General features: G+C 41.4%; 1 long non-coding RNA gene and 1 pseudogene across 1 annotated transcript in view, besides 1 other annotated feature; both read right to left on the reverse strand.

Moving 5' to 3' along the window:
- Nucleotides 1–20,697, reverse strand: part of NNT-AS1 (NNT antisense RNA 1) — a 30,046-nt gene that overhangs the window by 6,764 nt on the left and 2,585 nt on the right. Inside the window, exon 2 of the long non-coding RNA NR_073113.1 lies at nucleotides 3,519–3,618. This is a non-coding gene — a long non-coding RNA (NNT antisense RNA 1). The remainder of the gene's footprint in view (nucleotides 1–3,518; nucleotides 3,619–20,697) is intronic.
- Nucleotides 544–1,290: an enhancer, noted in NCBI's record as "NANOG-H3K27ac hESC enhancer chr5:43580594-43581340 (GRCh37/hg19 assembly coordinates)". NCBI's record gives its function as "activates a minimal SCP1, AML or CMV promoter by ChIP-STARR-seq in naive H9 embryonic stem cells {active_cell/tissue: H9 hESC(naive)}" and the evidence as "EXISTENCE:reporter gene assay evidence [ECO:0000049][PMID:30033119]".
- Nucleotides 6,415–8,874, reverse strand: AMD1P3 (adenosylmethionine decarboxylase 1 pseudogene 3; annotated as a pseudogene).

Raw genomic sequence — 20,697 nt, forward strand, 5'->3', positions numbered from 1 at the left:
TAATATTCCTGACTTTTAAACTTTTTTATGAAAGGTAACTTTGCAAGTGACTCAACAATTTAACTAAGGACACATGAGGTGTCTCCAAAGAGGTAAAAAGCAGTCCTCACAAGATGCAGATGCACTGAAAGACAGTTCAAAGAAAATAAAGTTTCAGTAGCCGCAAACGGGATTCAACCCACATCTGTCCAGCCATATTCTCTAGTGTCTCAACTTCTCAGCTGACTGTCTACACACAAAGGCCCAAAAGCCTCATACGCCCCCACAGATGGAAGGAGGCAGAAAATCAAAAGCTGTCCATGAAACAGAAAATGATCAACAACAAATGGGTACCCCAAAAAGCCAAAAGTCACACAAATATCAGACCAAAAGGTACTGGTTCCCTGACTGGTAATCAAACCCAGACCACAGTAGTGAAAGCACAGAATTTTAATTACTGGACTGAAAGGTGGAGCAGCTTTATTGTGAATCCTACAGACAGTTTGAGCACATATGTTATTGTGGGGAAAAGAAAGAGAGATCAGATTGTTACTGTGTCTGTGTAGAAAGAAGTAGACATAGGAGACTCCATTTTGTTCTGTACTAAGACAAATTCTTTTGCCTTGAGATGCTGTTAATCTATAACCTTACCCCCAACCCCGTGCTCTCTGAAACATGTGATGTGTCAACTTACGGTTAAATGGATTAAGGGCGGTGCAAGATGTGCTTTGTTAAACAGATGCTTGAAGGCAGCATGCTCATTAAGAGTCTTCACCACTCCCTAATCTCAAGTACCCAGGGACCTCTGCCTAGGAAAGCCAGGTATTGTCCAAGGTTTCTCCCCATGTGATAGTCTGAAATATGGCCTCCTGGGAAGGGAAAGACCTGACCATCCCCCAGCCCAACACCCGTAAAGGGTCTGTGCTGAGGAGGATTAGTATAAGAGGAAGGCATGCCTCTTTGCAGTTGAGACAAGAGGAAGCCATCTGTCTCCTGCCCGTCCCTGGGCAATGGAATGTCTCGGTATAAAACCCGATTGTATGTTCCATCTACTGAGATGGGGGAAAACTGCCTTAGGGCTGGAGGTGGGACATGCGGGCAACAATACTGCTTTGTAAGGCATTGAGATGTTTATGTGTATGCATATCTAAAGCACAGCACTTAATTCGTTACCTTGTCTATGATGCAGAGACCTTTGTTCACGTGTTTATCTGCTGACCTTCTCTCCACTATTATCCTATGACCCTGCCACATCCCCCTCTCTGAGAAACACCCAAAAATGATGAATAAATACTAAGAGAACTCAGAGGCTGGCGGGATCCTCCATATGCTGAACGCTGGTTTCCTGGGTCCCCTTATTTTCTTTCTCTATACTTCGTCTCTGTGTCTTTTTCTTTTCCAAGTCTCTCGTTCCACCTAACGAGAAACACCCACAGGTGTGGAGGGGCAACCCACCCCTTCAGTTATGATTTTCACTTTGTGTTAGGTCAGATTTTTGCTGTTTAATTTTGTCAAGAGAATTTCTAAGGTTAGCCATGATACTATTATATGTCTTTATTTTAATTTGGTCTGTCTATAAACACAAAGAAGGCAATTGTTTAGAACCAAGCAACAAGAGTTGAGATGACAAAAGCCCACAGTGATGGGACTTTTAAGACAAACTCCCCTGAGAGCTTGACACATTCATAACAAAAAGTGTGCTGCTTAAAATCTTACATGTCTCACGTCCCAGCCATTTTCAGACTGGTCACCTTATATGACCTGAAAATCATGCCTCATAGATAGTGGAGACCAAGAGAGAGTGCTCCCACTTTGTCACCAGCCACACTTTCAAGGATATAAAACAAGATGAAAGGGGAATCTCATATGGTTTTTATTTTGGGGGCCCACAACAAAGTTTATATGCTGTTCTGGTCAGAACTACAATTCTGACAAGTCCGCAAGGCTGGCTGGAAAAATGGGCTTATAAAGGCTTTAGGCCTATGTTCTACCTCATGCTTGGTACCCTTCTTTATGACATAACAACACGGAAAGACAAAGAAAGAAAAAGTTGATTTCTGGGACAAAAAGGATCAAATAATATGAATACTTAAACCAAAAATTACACCAGAGTCACAACACCCAAGACTACTCACACAAATCCTTGTCTCCCATTAATCAAGATTTTGCAGAGAAAAGAGACAAACAGGGATTTTAACTGTCAACTTGATCAGATTCCACAGAAAGAGAGGCCAGAAGCTTGGCCGGTAAGAAATTCTTGTTCTTCTGGCAGCTAGTCAGGTCCTGGGTTCCCTTCACTCTGGCTTAAGAGCAGAATAGTTTTGGTATACTGCTCACAGCACCAAAACTATAGGAGCCAAGCAAAAACTTCCCCTTTGCCCTCTGAAGGTCCACTGAAAAATCAACTGATAAAAGGCAGCTTAATAGGAGAAATGGCACAGAAATTTATTAACATACCCACAAAGGAGAACCACAGAGTAATTATTCCTCATGTCATTTCTTCTTTTAATCTGCTTTTTTTGTCAGTTGACTTTTCAACAAAACTTCAGAGGGCAAAGGGGAAGTTTTTCCTTGGGCTCTATGATAGGAATTGATTCATTCGCTTGTTCATTCAACAAATATTGATTTGTGTCTACTTCATGCCAGACACTGTTCCAGGTGCTGAGGATAAGCAGGGGTGTGAGATTGGTAGGTTGGAGGCATATGAGACATGAAGCAGAAAACAAGTTCAGTGGCTATTGTAGAAATTCTGGTGAGAAATGATGGTAGCTACTAAGCTAGTAGTAGTGGGGTTGGACAGAAGGGCCACATTTAAGAGATTTTTAGGAAGAAGTTGACAGATGTTGAGAGATTGTATGTGAGTCATTAGTGAGAGGCCAGAGATCAGGATGACTTTCAGGATTCTGGCTTTGGTGCCTCAGCCTATAAGATTCGGAATACCAGAAGGGAGCAGATTCAGGAAATGAAGGGACTCTCCTTTCTTCCGTTTTGGATATTTCATTTGGTACCTGGAGCATCCAAGTAGAGTTCTTCAGAGGAGAGTTAAATTTATGGTGTTGGCACTCAGAGCAATGTTGCTTGAGTTAGAGATTTGATAGCTGAAGCCACAGGAAGAAATGAGATTACTTAGGAAAAGTGAGACAGAAGAGAAGAGAAAATTATCAAGTTTAATGGCTGGATTGAAGAAGAGAAATCTGTTTTCTTCATTTACATAGGAATAAAATGACAGAAGCCAGTGGAGAATAGAAGGTTAAAGAGGAAGAGCTTACGAGTGCCAAATGTTGGTTAGGGGCTGGGAAATCTTTCCCTTTGCCTTCTGAAGTTTTGCTGAAAATCACATATTACTAGGAGAAAAGGCATATAAATTTATTTGGTTAGAGTTGTACCTGACACAGGAGCCTTTAGAATGCGGACCCAAAGATATAGAGGAAACTGTCCATTTTTATCATTAGGTTCAACAAAGTATGGGCAGCTATGTAGAAATATGATTGGACAAAAAGGGTAAGATCTAATGCTAAAGACCGAGTGGGGAAACCTACCTAGAAAGGCCTGTCTGTCTAGATTCTTCTTGGCATCTCTGAGCATGGATTTCATTCTGGATATGGGGCAGGATGCTCTCTGGAATGAGGGTCTTTAGACCTGCAATCAAACAAGGTAGGTCAAATAATTTTTTTTATGGCTGATTTTTACACAAAAATGTTGGGGGAACGTTAGGATAATACTTTTAGGTTTTATGCCTGGTGTTGGGGAAATGGGGTTCTAGTTTCTATGACCTGCCTTGAGGAAGAAAAATTCTAGTTTCTAAGGCTAGCCTTGGGAGAATGAGGGGCCAGAGGCAGGAGGATAGAAGGTCAGAGAGACTTGCTTTTGAAGCCTTTGTATTGGAGTATTGTTTTTCTGACAGCCTACAGTTGCAGAGATGTGAAATAATAGTAGGATTCTGAAGAGTCCATGAAAGTGCACCCTTTCCTGAGATTGAGCACTCTAGATGCTGCAGTGGGTGTATCCTGCCTGAGGCCATTAAACTAATGAATAAACCACTTCTGGGAATCTAGTGCTAAGCAATCTTCTTCTTATAATTTTATTATCCATCTAAATTTGCATATTGGGAGGAAAATAATAACAATAATAATAGCTAATATTTAGCATTTACTATGTTCCAAATGAACACTTTACATGGATTATCTAATTTAATTATCTTATATAGAGGTAGATCAGCAGGACTTGTTTTCCAAACACTGGTCACAACCTTGCTAATCAAAACAGGAGGCATTAAATAAATCAGCTAAATCAGCTAAAACCAAGATGGCAACGAATGTGATCTCTAATTGCCCTTGATCTGTGTTATACACTAATTATAATACATTAGCATGCTAAAAGATACTCACACTGGTGCCATAACAGTTTACAAATGCCATGGCAATGTCCAGAAGCTATTATATGGTTTAAAAGAGGAGGAACCTTTGGTTTTGAGAACTCCTCATCCTTTTCTAGGAAATTTATGAATAACCTGCCCCTTATTTAGCATATAATTAAGGAGTAGCTATAAATAGAGTTAGTCAGCAATCCATGAGTGCTACTCTGCTTATGGGGTAGCCCTGCTCTATCTATGGAGCAGCCATTTTCCTGTATTCTGTTGCTCTTAATAAACTTGGTTTGCTTTCACTTTACTCTGTTGGCTCACCCTTGAATTCCTTCCTGCATGAAGCCAAGAACCCTCCTGGGCTGAGCCCCAGTTTTGGGATTCACCTGCATCATCTTTCCTGGAACCCATGAAGGGATTAACAAGCCGAGGGGAACTGCAGGAGACCTTCACTGGACGCCCCCCTACTAACATCAATCAGCACCATTTGCCCTCCATGGATAGGTGTCTCCTTTGTTTCCCCTGCTATTTGGGCAATTGTTTCTATGTTATATGAGGTAGGACAGTTTCCTTGTTTTGCATTTTTTTCTTTTTTTTTTCTTTTTTTTCCAAGACATAGTTTTGCTCTGTCACCCAGGCTGGAGTGCAGTGGCGTGATCTCGGCTCACTGCAAACTCTGCCTCCCAGGTTCAAGCAATTCTCCTGCCTCAGGCTCTTGAGTAGCTGGGATTACAGGCGTGCGCCACCATGCCTGGCTAATTTTTGTATTTTTAGTAGAGACGGGGTTTCCCCATGTTGGTAAGGCTGGTCTCAAACTTCTGACCTCATGATCCACCTGCCTCAGCCTCCCAAAGTGCTGGGATTACAGGTGTGAGCCACTGCGCCTGGCTGCATTTTTTCTTTTGTTATTATGAGTGATCCCCCATTGTGCTGACTTTGGAATGTTGGAGTCATGCTGTTCTGTGCCCCCAATTGTTTTGGAATTGTCCCCATAGGATTGTGGGTGAGAATCCCACCATTGAGGACCTTGGGCTTGTGCCTTTGGGGTTCACTGTTGTCTGCCTCCAGGTTGTTCTGGGATGTGTAGCATTTGATGTGGGGGACCGTCATTGGTTGATGCCTGGATGCTCCAGGTTTTTCAGCATTAACTGCTTTTGGCCCTCTAAGATTGTGGGTTAGAGTCCCACTCTAGAGGGATCTAGGTATCCCCTCTAGGATTGTGGGTTAGAGTCCCATCCTTGGGGGATCTTGGTCTCATTTTTTCTTGTTGTCTTTGTCATCCCATTTTTTCTCCAAAATGCTTTCTTCACTTTTTGTGGAATTCAGACTATAAGAATCCTATTTCCTTATTTTAATCTCTCCTTCAATAATTTGCTTATTAAAACTCCTCTTTTGGCCGGGTGCGGTGGCTCAAGCCTGTAATCCCAGCACTTTGGGAGGCCGAGGCTGGCGGATCACGAGGTCAGGAGTTCGAGACCATCCTGGCCAATGTGGTGAAACCCTGTCTCTACTAAAAATACAAAAAAATTAGCCAGGTGTGGTGGCGGGCACCTGTAGTCCCAGCTACTCAGGAGGCTGAGGCAGGAGAATGGCGTGAACCCGGAAGGCGGAGCTTGCAGTGGGCTGAGATCGTGCCACTGCACTCCAGCCTAGGGGACAGAGCCAGACTCCGTCTCAAAAACAAACAAACAAACAAACAAACAAAAACTCCTCTTTTGTTGCATTCCATTTGCTAGTGGATGCAGCCATCCATCTCTCTACTGTCCACTCATATCTGATAATTCATTTTCGTTATGCCATGGTAACTGTACTTATGCCTTCTTTGCAGGAATTAGTGGTGATTGCCCTACTGACCTTTCTTGAGGGAAAAGGGAGGTAGGCATTTGAAAGAAAAATTAACTAGGCTCTTGATAGATTTAGAAAAACTTCTGTGTCTAGTGGAGATCCTTGTTAGACATGGGGACAATGGCAAGCATCTCAAAGGACTTGCTGCTAGGGTGTCAAAAGCAATTGGATCAAATTCAAATTCTCTTAAAGAGAAAGAGACCGATTTTCTTTCTTTTTTTTTTTTTTCATGGAAGAAAAACTTTAATTGCTGTTTTAAAAAACCTCTGTATGAGGTAGAAATTGGTTTCAATAATATTAGTAAAGAATATGTTCTAGAAAGTGGAGGTAACTGGATGTAAAATTCTGGCAGCAATTTAATAGAACAGTCCTAGACGGTTAGGCTGAGTCCAACACCTAATGAGGATGAAAGCTTTGTCTGTGGGGAATTTTGGATGATACTTGGAGAAATATTACACTGTGCATAAACCAAATTGAATTGCTTTCACAAGTGTTATAAAGTTTCATATAGTAAAAGGTTTTTTCTACATGCACTTCAATTTCACAGCAAGAGTGGCAGAGAATACCTAAACACAGAAGCGAACATTCGTGCAAGATATCTATTTCCTTGATATAATAATGCATACAATTCAAAATGATTACACTATCATTACATATAGGGCTTTATGCAACTACACTGTGGTGGTTATGGAAAGCACTGACCCCAGCATCGACATCTAGAAAGCATCCACCACCTTCTTACGTGTGTTCTCTTTTTGCATTTTTTTCTTCATTTTTCTTAATCAACTCTGCTGTTATTGCTGCTTCTTAGCAAAACTGGTAAAAACAAAATTGTAATCATTGAACATAGCACTCTGGCAATCAAGACGCTTAAAACCTTCAATCTTCTGAGGTGAAGAAAACACGGCGCGACATTTAGAACTCTGATTAACAAAGTGATCACAAATTTTCCTGGCTTGAAGCCTTCCATAGCTTTCCTGATCAGGTCATCATAGGAGGTGGCTTAAGTTTGTTTCAAAGCTAACATAAAAAGATTCTGGTTCTGGAGTGATGTGAATAGTCCAATAAGTTCCATCTGATTTCATTCCATTCATCGAATACCCATAAGGATTGAACATTGTGGCATTAATGACAGAACCTGGTATCAGGTTGTGAATTCCACTCTCACAAATGACATCCTTTGCAGTAACGCCATCTTTCATGTAGAACTGGTCCATAACTGCTGGGTCAAGCCCACTCATCAAATTTTCCAGGGTTTGATCTGGCTGACTGATTACCTTTCTGGGAAATCCAGAGTACGTAAGTACCAACAGTCAGAATTCATACTTCCCATACAATATGCTGCTCCATTTGGGAAAATTGCATTAAGAAACTCTATTTCTTCCTGGAAATTCTAGTGTAGGTACCCTTAGGGGGAAGGCTTCATGAAATTCTCACAAGAATAAAAGAAGCTTTGAATTGAGTCAAACCCACTGTAATGCCTAGCAAGCTTCAACAGGGGAACCAGCGCTTTCAGTAAGAGAGTGGTACCACGTGTCTTCAAAATGAAACGTTTCTTGGAGACAAACATGCTACTCTCACTGAGTACACAAGCTTCCTGGTTGTCAGTTTTTGTCACACTTATCATTGAACGTTGCACATCCTTCAAAAGTATGTCCCACTTGGCCGGGCGCGGTGGCTCACGCCTGTAATCCCAGCACTTTGGGAGGCTGAGGCAGGCAGATCACGAGGTCAGGAGATCGAGACCATCCTGGCTAACACGGTGAAACCCCGTCTCTACTAAAAATACGAAAAATGAGCCGGGCGTGGTGGCGGGCGCCTGTAGTCCCAGCTACTCATGAGGCTGAGGCAGGAGAATGGCGTGAGCTTGGGAGACCGAGGTTGCAGTGAGCCGAGATCGTGCCACTGCACTCCAGCCTGGGCGACACAGCGAGACTCCGTCTCAAAAAAAAAAAAAAAAAAAAAGTCCCACTCAGATCTTGGGATAGTGCGAAGATCCCCAGATCCTTGGTTTGCATTGGGCTGCTGCCAGGAGAACCAAACCTCCAGCCGCTTCTCGGTCCCTTCGGAAAAATGTACAGCTTCCATCACCATGAGACTGGCGAACAATCAACAACCACAGAAAATCAACTAAATTAAACCTTTTCTTCTGCTGCTGCGGCTGCCGCGGCTGCTGTGAATTGTTCCAGCTGTGTTAGAAAAGTTCAGGTTCCTTTTTTTTTTTAAAGACTAATAAAATGACCGGACGCGGTGGCTCACGCCTGTAATCCCATCACTTTGGGAGGCCGAGGCGGGCGAATCACGAGGTCAGGAGATCGAGACCATCCTGACCAACATGGTGAAACCCCGTCTCTACTAAAAATACAAAAATTAGCTGGGCATGGTAGTGGGTGCCTGTAATTCCAGCTACTTGGGAGACTGAGCCAGGAGAATCGCTTGAACCTGGGAGGCGGAGGTTGCAGTGAGCCGAGATCAAGCCACTGCACTCCAGTCTGGTGACAGAGCGAGACTCTGTCTAAAAAAAAAAAAAAAAAAGTAAAATTTTCCCGGCTTTGTGTGAGTGAAAGTTGAACGTGAATCTTTTGGAAACAGAGGCAGATACAGTTCAGTCTCTTGTATTCCGCTGCTTCCCTGTCAGAGAGAGTAGAGCGAATGCTAGCTAATGTGGCTGACCATACTGTATAAGCCGAGACTCATTTTCCACTGCAACGCAGTTTGGGTCCAATACAAATTAAGAGACCAAGAAATTTGGCCTAAAAATGGTTTGTTACATTATTTTACAATTCAACTATTTTACAATTCAACTTATTCTGTAAAAAGGAAGGAGAATGAAGAGAAATCCCTTATGTACAGGCTCTTATGGCTCTCTACTAGGAGCCTGACTTAAGGGACACCTGTAGAATGTGCCTTGCTCATGTTACATCCAGACACCAAAAAGCCACACTAGATACCCTAGATAATCCCCTCCTAGCTACTCCCCATAGAAGGCCCATGTGCTCCCCAACCTGAAGTCTCTTCAGTCCCCCAGTTCTGAGGAGGCTGATCTCACCAGTTCCACAGCACAGGATTCCACCTCCCCTTCCCCTTATTAAACTATCCCAAGCCTATATCTCGCCCTGCCCAAGGAAGTAAGCCCAACCAGTATCACCAGGAGTGGGGTCTCATATCAGCCCCTAAAACTGAACCTATGTTCATTGTGAGAGGTAGCTGATAGAGATGACTGGACAATCAGAATACATGTGTTTTTTTTTTTTTTTCTATATCTGATTTGGCTTTATGCAAGGAGAAATGTAGCTGGTTTTTAAGAGGATGCAGGGAAGTTTGTAGAGAAGTTTGTTAAGTTGACCATGTCCTTTGACTTAACTTGGCATGACTTGCAAATATTGTCCACCTGCTCTATCATAGAGGATAAACAAATGATTCTGGGTACTGCCCGTAAAAATGCAGGTAGAATGCTTATAACCAAGGCCATGCCATTTATTATATGGGGGGAGATGCAGTTCCAGATCTGGAGACTCAAAGAGATTACCAGAGGAGTTGCCAAGATTTTGAATGCAGAAATCACATGGTAACTTGTTTAATAGAAAGCATGAAAAAGTGTGCGGTTAAGCCAGCTAATTATGACACGATTAGAGATGTAACTTTGAAAAGGATGGAAATCCTGCTTTATTTCAGGGCTGTCTGGTTGAGACACTCAGGAATTATACTAATACAGACCCAGACTCCCTGGAAAGGTATGCTTTCCTGGGTATGCATTTTATTACTCAGTCTTTCCTTGAGATTAGAAGGAAGTTACATAAGGCAGAAATGACACTTCAAACCCCAATGGGCCAACTCTTTTTTTTTTTTTGAGATGGAGTCTCACTCTGTTGCCCAGGCTGGAGTGCAGTGGCGTGATCTTGGCTCACTGCAACCTCTGCTTCCTGGGCTCAAATGATTCTCCTGACTCAGCCTCCTGAGTAGCTGGGACTATAGGCATATACCACCACGCCCAGCTAATTTTTTTGTATTTTTAGTAGAGACGGGTTTCACCATATTGGCCGGGCTGGTCTCGAACTCCTGACCTCAAGTGATCTGCCTGCTTCGGCCTCCCAAAGAGCTGGGATTACAGGTGTAAGCCACCACACCTGGCCAGGCCAACTCTTAAACATGGCCTTTGGAGTTTACAACAGTAGGAACAGGGCAGAGGAGGCAGAGAAAACCAAAAGAAATAGTCAAAACACACAGTTCCTGGTGGCTGCCTTGAGCCCCCTACCACCTCAGAGTTACACATCTTGAGGAAGTGCCATGAGATTGGCATCTGGGATGCATAAATGAGAGCCTGACTTAGTGGCCCCTGAGCCAAAGTCAGTGTGCCCTCTGTAAGCAAGAGGACCACTGGAAAAGGGCTGCCCCAGGCTCTGAGGGGGTCAACCAAACCCATAATAGCCAAGAGAACAGAGGACTCATGGGGCCTGAGATCCCCCACAGCTCCCACTGGACACCTTACTATCTCCACAGAGGAGCTTCTGGTAACCCTTTACATAGCAGGTAACAATATTGAGTCCTTATTGGATATGAGTCAGCCTCTCAGTTCTGACCCATTTCTCAGGGGCATTGTCTTCTTTTACATTTTGAGCACTTTACTGCTTAAAAATGTGTCCCTCATATGGTTTAAAAGGGGAGGAACCCTTGGTTCTAGGAACTCCCCATCCCTTTCATAGAAAATTTGTGAATAACCCACCCCTTATTTAGCATATAATTAAGGATTAGCTATAAATATTGTTAGTCAGCAATCCATGAGTGCTACTCTGCCAATGGGGTAGCCCTGCTCTGTCTATGGAGCAGCCATTTTCCTGTTCTCTGTTGTGCTAATAAACTTGCTTTGCTTTTACTTTACTCTGTCACCACCCTTGAATTCTTTCCTTCCTACCTGAAGCCAAGAGCCCCAATTTTTGGGTTTGCCTGCATCAATTTGATCTTCAAAACAACCCTATAAAGTAGGCATTATTGCTTACCTATTTTATTCGTATAAAAATACTGGGGCTCAGACATGTAAATTAACTTGCCTAAGATCACATAAATAGTGAGCTACTCAGTTCTAAATACATAGTCTACAAGCTTAAACAATATGCTACACTTTGTCTCCAGAATAAATGGATCATATTGATGCAAACATTCCATTCTTCTTGAATTATATTTCTCACAATAAATAAATAAATAGGCCTCCCAATCGTACTAGCATTTGGAATAATAAAAATTTGTGAATGATTTGGAAACCAGCAATTGTCAGTACCAGGAAACATAAACAGTGAGTGTAGACAACTTTGTCTAAGCTTGATTGTGAAATAAAAGAAAGAGATATGGAACTAGTTTGCAATGCAAGTGTATTAAAGAAGTTTCTGTTGCTATTAGAGTTTTTTTTTTAAATTACGTAAACATAAATATGTCAGCTAAAGACAATGAGGCGAAGGACTACATCAGGGAAAAGAGGGGAAATCAAGGGAGGAAAGGACTGAAGGAGGTGGCAGCTCGCAAATTCAAAGTACAGGCAGCAGGAGTAACTTTGGATGGGAGAAACTCTGTTTCACTGAGAAATGGAAGGAGATGCAGATACTGCAGGAAAAGAGAATGTTGGAAACAAGATGCTCTCCATGTTCTCAGTGAAAAAGAAGGAAATGTCTTTGCTGAGAGTGAGGGTGGGAATGTAAAAAAAGAGGACTTGAGGAAAGTGACAACAGTTGCAAAAGCTGCTCTGGGAGGAGTGTGATCCTAGGAAAACTATTGGGTGGTGCAGAGGTCCAGTTGAGGTTGGAAAGTAGAGATTTGCAGGGGCAACACTCTGGACCATTTTGTGATTTCTCTCTAGCAACTCCCCTTTTTTTTGAGACAGAGTCTTGCTTGGTGGCCCAGGCTGGAGTGCAATGGCACGATGTTAGCTCACTGAAACCTCCGCCTCCTGGGTTCAAGCAATTCTTGTGCTTCAGCCTCCCAAGAGGCTGGGATTACAGGCATGCACCACCATGCCTGGCTTTTTTTTTTTTTTTTTTAGTAGAGAAGGGGTTTTGTCATGTTGCCCAGGCTGGTCTCAAACTCCTGGCCACAAGCAATCTACTCACCTTGGCCTCCCAGTGTTGGTATTACAAGCATGAGCCACCACACCTGGCTTCTCTCTAGCAACTCTTGACAACCTGATATAGGCATTGGGAAACCTGTTAGTGGGAATGTAATTTTGTTATGTAGTTTAAGACACAAGGATTAAGACAGAAGGGGTTGAGAGGCTGTTCATGGCTTAGACTAGACAGAGAAAGGGTTGAAGATGGAAGATAGATTGGAAGGAAAAAGGAATCAAGACACAGAAATAAGGGAGTTGAAAAGAAAGTTGTGGTCAGACCATGAGATGTTGGTGTTGAAAAGTTTAGAGGAAGTTCTGAATGAATAATCAGAACATGCAATATACTACTAATAGCACAATTCAACTAACTGAACTGAGTGCTTGCTGACCAGCAGCAAGGTAATGTAATATCTGGAAATGCTCATTAATCAGATGATGTACAGAGTCCAAGTAATGTACAGATTCCAAATTTGGCACTTAAAAAGACAGGAACATCAATGTTTAATGTATAAATGTCAGCAAGCAGGCTTTTGCCACTGGCACATTTTGTTTCCCTATTTCTCTCGTTCAATCTATTAACTGCTCTTTTTGTTGGCATGTGGTCAAAACCCAGTATCTTTTTTCTATTTCAACTCCTACAGAATATTCACAATGCTTTCCTTCCTTTTAACAAGTATATTCTGACTGCCTAAGAAAGCCAGACACTCTGTTAGGTGTTGATGACATGCCAATGAATAAGATAAAATATCCATCTTCAAGCAGCTTGCACTTCAGTGCAGGAATTATACAAATAGGAAATAATATGGAATGCAGTGAACCAAATGTTTATGTCCCTGCAAAATTAATATATTAAAATCCTAACCCCCAAGGTGATGGAATCAGGGGGTAATACCTATACCCAATACCTTGGGTATTGGGAGGTGATCAGGTCATGAGGGCAGAGTCCTCATGAAAGGGATTAGCATCCTTATAAAAAGAGACCCAGAGAGATACATTGCTTCTTCCCCATGTGAGGTAATAGCTGTCTTTGAGGACACAGTCCCTCACCAGACAACAAGTCTGCTGCTACCTTGATCTTGGACTTCCCAGCCTCAAGAACTGTGAGAAATAAATTTCTGTTGTTTATAGATGACCCAGTTTATAACATTTTGGTATAGCAGCCCAAACAGACTAAGACAGAGAGTGATAAACACTATAATAATGTTAAAACTTGAGTCTTATGGAAGGGCACTTAACCTTGGATGGTCTGGAAAGGCTTCTGTGTAAAGGTCTCATCTCAAATAAAATTAAGGATTAGTAGGATAATCCAGGAAAATGAATGGGGAGGGAAAAATGAGAGGGACTTGATGTTCACAGAGGACTCCCTCTTTCTCTCTATAAAGGGGCTTCTGTTTTCCTTGCTTCTCTTGGTACCTTCATTCCCACAGGGAAGTCATTTTAGCATCCCCTCTCAGAGGATACTCTTTCCCACCAGAATCATTGAACTCAGAACCAAAAGACCTACAGTTAAGTCTCAGCTCTAATTCTTGTTGTTGTGACTTCAGATGTATCAGTTTACCCTAAGCCATTGTTTCTTCACCTTAAAACAGGAACAGGCTGGGCACGGTGGCTCACACCTGTAATCCCAGCACTTTGGGAGGCCGAGGTGGGCGGATCATGAAGTCAGGAGTTTGAGACCAGCCTGGCCAATATGGTGAAACCTCATATCTACTAAAAAATACAAAAATTAGCTGGGCATGGTGGCGTGCGCCTGTGGTCCCAGCTATTCGGGGGGCTGAGGCAGGAGAATCGCTTGAACCTGGGAGGTGGAGGTTGCACCACTGCACTCCAGCCTGGGCAACAACAGAGTGAGACTCCATCTCAAAAAACAACAACAACAAAAAACCCAGGAATAATAGAACCTTCTTCCGAGTTATTAAAGTGATTAAATCAGGTAATACATGTCAAGGTGGTGTGTAAACTGAAATATTACACAGAAAGTAACTATTCTTACTGTCCTAAGGTGGCATGATTTATGCTTTTGGACTCTTGAGCCCATTGTGGAGATTAAGAAACAAAGAATCTGTAATCATCAATATGAATTTATAGTTACTTTTCAGGTCTGACAAGTTTAAACCCTGAAATTAATTGTTCCCTGAGGCTTTCTAAAATTTTTGAGTTAATGCTATAAATTCCTACAATTTGTCGTCTACTCAAAAGCCACTACAGAGGGATGTAGTGCCTAAACTGTCACCTAACAGTAGAGTGTGCCAGCAATGCAATCTTTAGAGTACCTTGGACACTCTATCAGATAAAAAGATCACTTGAAAGGGGAATTTGACAATTAACATGCCAAATAAATGTTGAAAACACTGACTAAAGATGAGGTGTGGGGTAAGGAAGATGAAAAACCTCTTTATCCCAAATTCAGGATGGCATCCTGAACCTTCAATGTTTGCTTCCACTGATAAGAAATGATTTCATGAAATTGCTTTCTTAATCTACAGGCAATTCATTTGAAAAATTTATGCCACAGGAAAAGAGGCAATAATGAATATTTTCAGTAAGCTGAATGTACCGAATGTACCTTACTTTTATTTTTTAGATTGTGAGAGTGAGGGACTTAGTCTCAGAATAATTACAATACTTAACTTTTTTTTTCTAATTTTACAAAGAAACATTAAAAAAACAGCAAATTTGAAAGAATTTTATGTACTTACCTGTGCATCTACCACCTAGAGTCTACCATTACTATTTTACTACACCTGTCAGGCTTATTTTTTTAATTAAACATTTTATTTTGAGATAATTGGAGATTCACATGCAGTTGTATGAAATAATACAGAGAGATCCCCCCCTGTAGGCTCTACCCAGTTTCCCCTAAGGGTAATATTTTGCAAAACTATAGTACAATATCATAACCAGGGTATTGACATTGATGTAATCAAGATACAGAATATTTCTATCACCACAAGGATTTCTCGGGTTGGCCTTTTATAGCCACAGCTACATCTCTTTTACCCTCACCCCCTCCTCAAACTCTGGCAACTACCAATCTGTTCTCTATTTTGATAATTTCATTTTTTCAAGAATATTATATAGTGGGCCAGGTGCAGTGGCTCATGCCTGTAGTCCCAGCAGTTTGGGAGGCCGAGGCAGGCGGATTGCTTGAGGCCAGGAGTTGAAGACTACTCTGGCCAACATGGTGAAACCCTGTCTCTATTAAAAATGCAAAAATTAGCTGGGCATGGTGGCAGATGTCTATAGTCCCAGCTACTTGGGAGCCTGAAGTGGGAGAATTGCTTGAACCCAGAAGGTGGAGGTTGGTGTAAGCCGAGATTGAACCACTACACTCCAGCCTGGGTGACATAGGGAGATTTGGTCTCAACAACAACTATATATATACACATTATAAATATATATAATAATACATATACTTATATATATACATTATATATTAAATATAATGTATAATGTATATATAGCTATATAATCTATAATTATAGATTATAGCACTTTGGGAGACTGAGGCAGGAGGACCACCAGAGGCCAGGAATTTGAGACCAGCCTGGACAACATAATGAGACCTTCATTTCTACAAATAAAAGAGAATGTTACGTAAATGGAATAGTAAGTATGTAATCTTTTAAGACTGGCTTTTCCCTCTTAGCATAATTCTCTGGGGAGTGATCCAAGTTGTTGAGTATTTCAGTAGTTCATTCATTTTCATTGCTGAGTAGTCTTCCATGGTAAGCATGTATAACAGTCTGTTTAACCATTCACCTGTTGAAGGACATATGGGCTGTTTCCAGTTTTTGGCTCTTATGAATAAAGCTACTATGAACAATTATGTACAGGTTTTTGTGTGAACATACATTTTGTTTCTCTGTGACAAATGCCTGGGAGTATAAATGGTAGAACCATATGGTAGTTACAGGTTTTTTAAAGAAACCATCAAACTGTTTTCCAGTTTGACTATATCATTTTATACTCTCAGCAGCAATGTATGAATAATACAGTTTTTCCCCACCCTTGCCAGATTTTGATATTATCGCTATTTTTCGTTTTAGGCATTTTTTTTTTTTTTTTTTTGGACAAGGTCTGGCTCTATCGCCCAGGCTGGAGTGTAGTGGTACAATCCTGGATCCTAGCTCACTGCAACCTCTGCCTCTCAGGCTCAAGCCATCTTCCCACCTCAGCCTCCTGAGTAGCTGAAACTACAGGCACATGCCACCATGCCCAGCTAATTTTTGTATTTTTTGCAGGGATGGGGTTTCGCCATATTGCCCAGGCTGGTCTCGAACTTGTGAGCTCAAGCAATCTGCCCGCCTTGGCCTCCTAAACTGCTGGGATTACAGGCATGAGCCACTGTGCCCAGCCCTGTTTAGGCTTTCTTATAGATATGTAGTGTTGTCTCATTGAGTTTTAATTTTCCCTTCCTTAATGGCGAATAATGTTGATCATCTTTTCATGTGCTTATATTCCTCTTCTGTGAAACGTCTCTTTATACCTTTTGCCCATTTTCTATTTGAATTTTGTTTTGCTGTTAGGTTTTAAGAATTTTTAAGAAATATATATATATTTCTTAAATATGTATTTCTTAAAAAAATAAGAAAATATTTCTTAAATATTTTCTTAAATATTTATATATTTCTTAAATATACATAAATTTATATATATATAACTGATTGACTCTTTTGCAGAGCTAAATTTTTTTTTGCTTTTGTTTTGTTTTGTTTCTTGTTTTGAGACGGAGTCTCAGTCTTTTGCCCAGGCTAGAGTGCAGTGGTGCAATCTTGGCTCACTGCAACCTCTGCCTCCTGGGTTCAGGCGATTCTCCTGCCTCAGCCTCTCGAGTAGCTGGGATTATAGGCGCCTGCCACCATGCCCAGCTAATTTTTGTATTTTTAGTAGAGATGGGGTTTCACCATGTTGGCCAGGATGGTCTCGAACTCCTGACCTCAAGTAATCCGCTCATCTTGGCCTCCCAAAGTGCTGGGATTACAGGAGTGAGCCACAGCACCTGGCCTTTTTTTTTTCTTGACAAGGTTTAATTTATCCGTTTTTCCCTTTATAAATAATGCTTTTTTAGTCCTTCAACATAAATAAGGTAAAAAAATAACGCTTTTGGTGTCAAGACTATTCCTAGGTCCTGGAGATTTTATCCTATTTTTTTCTGAAAGTTTTATGGTTTTACACGTAACTGTGTATTCCATCCTGACTTTACTGTAAAAATCTGTGAGACTTAGGTTGAGGTTCATTTTTGTTTGACTACAGATGTCCAACTGTATTAGTACCATTTGTTGAAAAGACTATCTTTCCTTCATTGAATTGCTTTCGCACCCTTGCCAAAAGTCAGATGCATTTTTTAAAACCTATGATGGGCTAGACTCTGGGCTATATTCTTTACATAAATTCTCTTCTCCTCTTCACAATGGCCTGTTAAATAGTTATTGTCTCCATATTTTTTATAGTTGAACTATCCCAAGGGTATTCAGCCAGACTCAGGATTCAGTCCAGTCTTCTTCCACAGTGGCTGCTGCTTATTGATCTAGCTAACTTTTATTTAGCATTTGTTATGTGCCAACACTGTGCTAAGCTTGAGGAAATAAGAGTTGAACAAGGCTTCCTAGAATACTTCACAGAGGAAGAGACAAAAGCTACACCTTAGAGGATGAACATAAGCTTGCAAAGAAAAGGTAGAGCAGGGAGAGCATTCTAGACTGAAGGAAAAGCATGCGAAAGGCAAGGAAGTATGGAATTGCTCCATACATTCAAGAAACATCCAGTGTTTTGCTACAGCTAAAAGGAGGGTAGTAGAGAATTTTCTCATGTTTGGCTTGAAATGTTTGTGGATATCTCAAGGGCAATGACCAGCAGGCAGTTGGCTGCAAGAGTCTGGAGCTTAGGAGAGAGGTCTGGGCTAGAGATTGAGCTTTGGGAGTGGTCCTAGCACAAGTAACATTGTACACAGAGAAAGTATTAGAGTTAATAGCAGAGAGGGCCAAGGGAACATTAGAAACGTGCACATTTAAGTGGTAAAATAATTGAGAATGAGCTGGGTGTGGTGGCGCACACTTGTAATCCCAGCTACTTTGGGAGTCTGAGGCAGGCAGATCACTGGAGGCCAGGAGTTCAAGACCAGCCTGTCCAACATGGTGAAACCCCATCTATCAAAAATACAAAATCAGCCAGGTGTGGTGGTGGTCACCTGTAATCCCAGCTACTTGGGAGGCTGAGGCAGGAGAATCACTTGAACCCATGAGGCAGAGGTTGCAGTGAGCTGAAGTCACCCCACTGCACTGCAGCCTGGGCTACAGAGTGAGACTGTTTCAAAAAAAAAAAAAGAAAAGAAAAAGAAAAAGAAAGAATTGATAATAAATGGTAGGAGGAGAGGAGATAGGAGAGTATAACGAACCAGTGGAGGTGAGATATTCTGGTTTTTATTTTTCTATTATGGGTAACATGTAGCATAAAAAAAGATCTTCAAAGAGATGATGCTTTGCAAAACTTATATTAAATTAGAACTTTTAATCAAATGCAAAATTTAAAAAGTGAAGTATTATAAAAATGTTAAGCGTGTTAAAGCAAACTAAATATGGCCTGAGAAAGACTCCGTACTTCTATATTTGAGTCTTTGTGGATGAACTGTAATCTAACTTAATAAGCAAAATTGAAAACCTGACTTAATAACTATGCACCTGTAACAGGAGCTGAGTGGTGGCCAATCCCAGCAGCCATACTTCAACCACTCATAGACTACTGAATGTTCAAACTGCATTCAAATAAGGCAAATGCTGAGCTGTAACCAATCTCACTGTTTCTGTACCTCATTTCCAATTCCTGTACCTCACTTTACCTTTTTTGTCTATAAATTTGTTCTGACCACAAGACACCCCTGGAGTCTCTGTGAATCTGCTGTGATTCTGGGGGCTGCCCGATTCATGAATGGTTCATTGCTCAATTAAACTCCTTTAAATTTAATTTGGCTGAAGTTCTTTTATCAAGTACTATTATGGGGTTTTATAATCAAGTAGTTTGATAATGGTGATAAATATATGATATATAGAAATTGCAGGAAAAGTTCAATTAGGTTGAGTGCTTATTAAACCAGTAAACCGGGTATATAACTAAGGAAATTTTTCCCCAATTATTAATACAAAATGACTTTCACCTGAATTTCCCTCAAATAATTTGGATTTTCACTTTAAACTCAATAACTGGCAAATCCATCCCTCTTCAAAAAACAAAGAAACTTCCCCCCAAAGACCCCCAAAACCCTCTTTACAGTGTGTTACCCTTAAACACACAGAATGCCCATGTAGTGGGCTGAATAGTGTTCCCCCTCAAAGTATCTGTGTCCGCCTTTATTTGGAAATACAGGCTTCGTAGATGTAATTAGTCAAGGATCTCAAGACAGAAACCATCCTGGACTTAGGGTGGTCCTTAAGACCACTGACTGGTATCTTTATAAGAGAGAGGAGAGGGAGGTTTGGACACAGGCACATAGAGAAGAAGGCAATGTGAAGATGGAGGCAGAGATTGGCTGCATTTATAAGCCAAGGAACACCAAGGACTGCCAACAACCAACAGAAGCTCTGGCAGAGGCATGGGATGGTTTCTCCCTCAATGCTTCCAGAAAGAATCCACCCTGCCAACCCCTTCATTTTGGGCTTCTGACCTCCAGAACTGTGATAGAAATGATTTCTGTTGTTTTCAGCCACCCAGTTTGTGGTAATTTCTTACAGCAGCCGTAGGAAACTAACATAGCTTCTATTCCTCACCAGCTTCCCAGACCCCCTAAACTATGATTACACAGATAATTTTTTTTTTTTTTGAGATGGAGTTTCACTCTAGTCACTCAGGCTGGAGTGCAATGTGATCTTGGCTCACTGCAACCTCCACCTCCTGAATTCAAGTGATTGTCCTGCCTCAGCCTCCCAAGTAGCTGGGGTTTCAGGTTTCAGGCACCTGCCACCATGCCCAGCTAATTTTTGTATTTTTAGTAGAGATGGGGTTTCACCCTATTGGCCAGGCTGGTCTCGAACTCCTGACCTCAGGCAATCCGCCTGCCTTGGCCACAAAGTGCTGGGATTACAGGCATGAGCCACCGCGCCCGGCCAATTTTTTATATTGATTTAAAAACCCATAGGTTTTTGTAATTGGTACTTACATGAATATGCAAAGGACAATATTCACAGTAGTATGCCATGAGCTAGTTTTTTAAATGCTCACAGAAATTTCAAATGCAAACTGGTTTTACTTATGTAGCTTAAACAAATGCCAATTGTTGAACTTTGTGCTGGCTCTTTAATATCAGTTCTCTTTTTTCTTCCAGTTAATGTTGATTAGCATCAGCTCATTTAGTCAGTTAACATTTATTTCCTAAAATCAAACACTCTTGATTGGTCAGCCTGGGAGAAGAGGGCTAAGATTA

The sequence above is a fragment of the Homo sapiens genome, chromosome 5, assembly GCF_000001405.40.
Source record: "Homo sapiens chromosome 5, GRCh38.p14 Primary Assembly".
NCBI classification, from domain to species: Eukaryota; Metazoa; Chordata; class Mammalia; order Primates; family Hominidae; genus Homo; species Homo sapiens.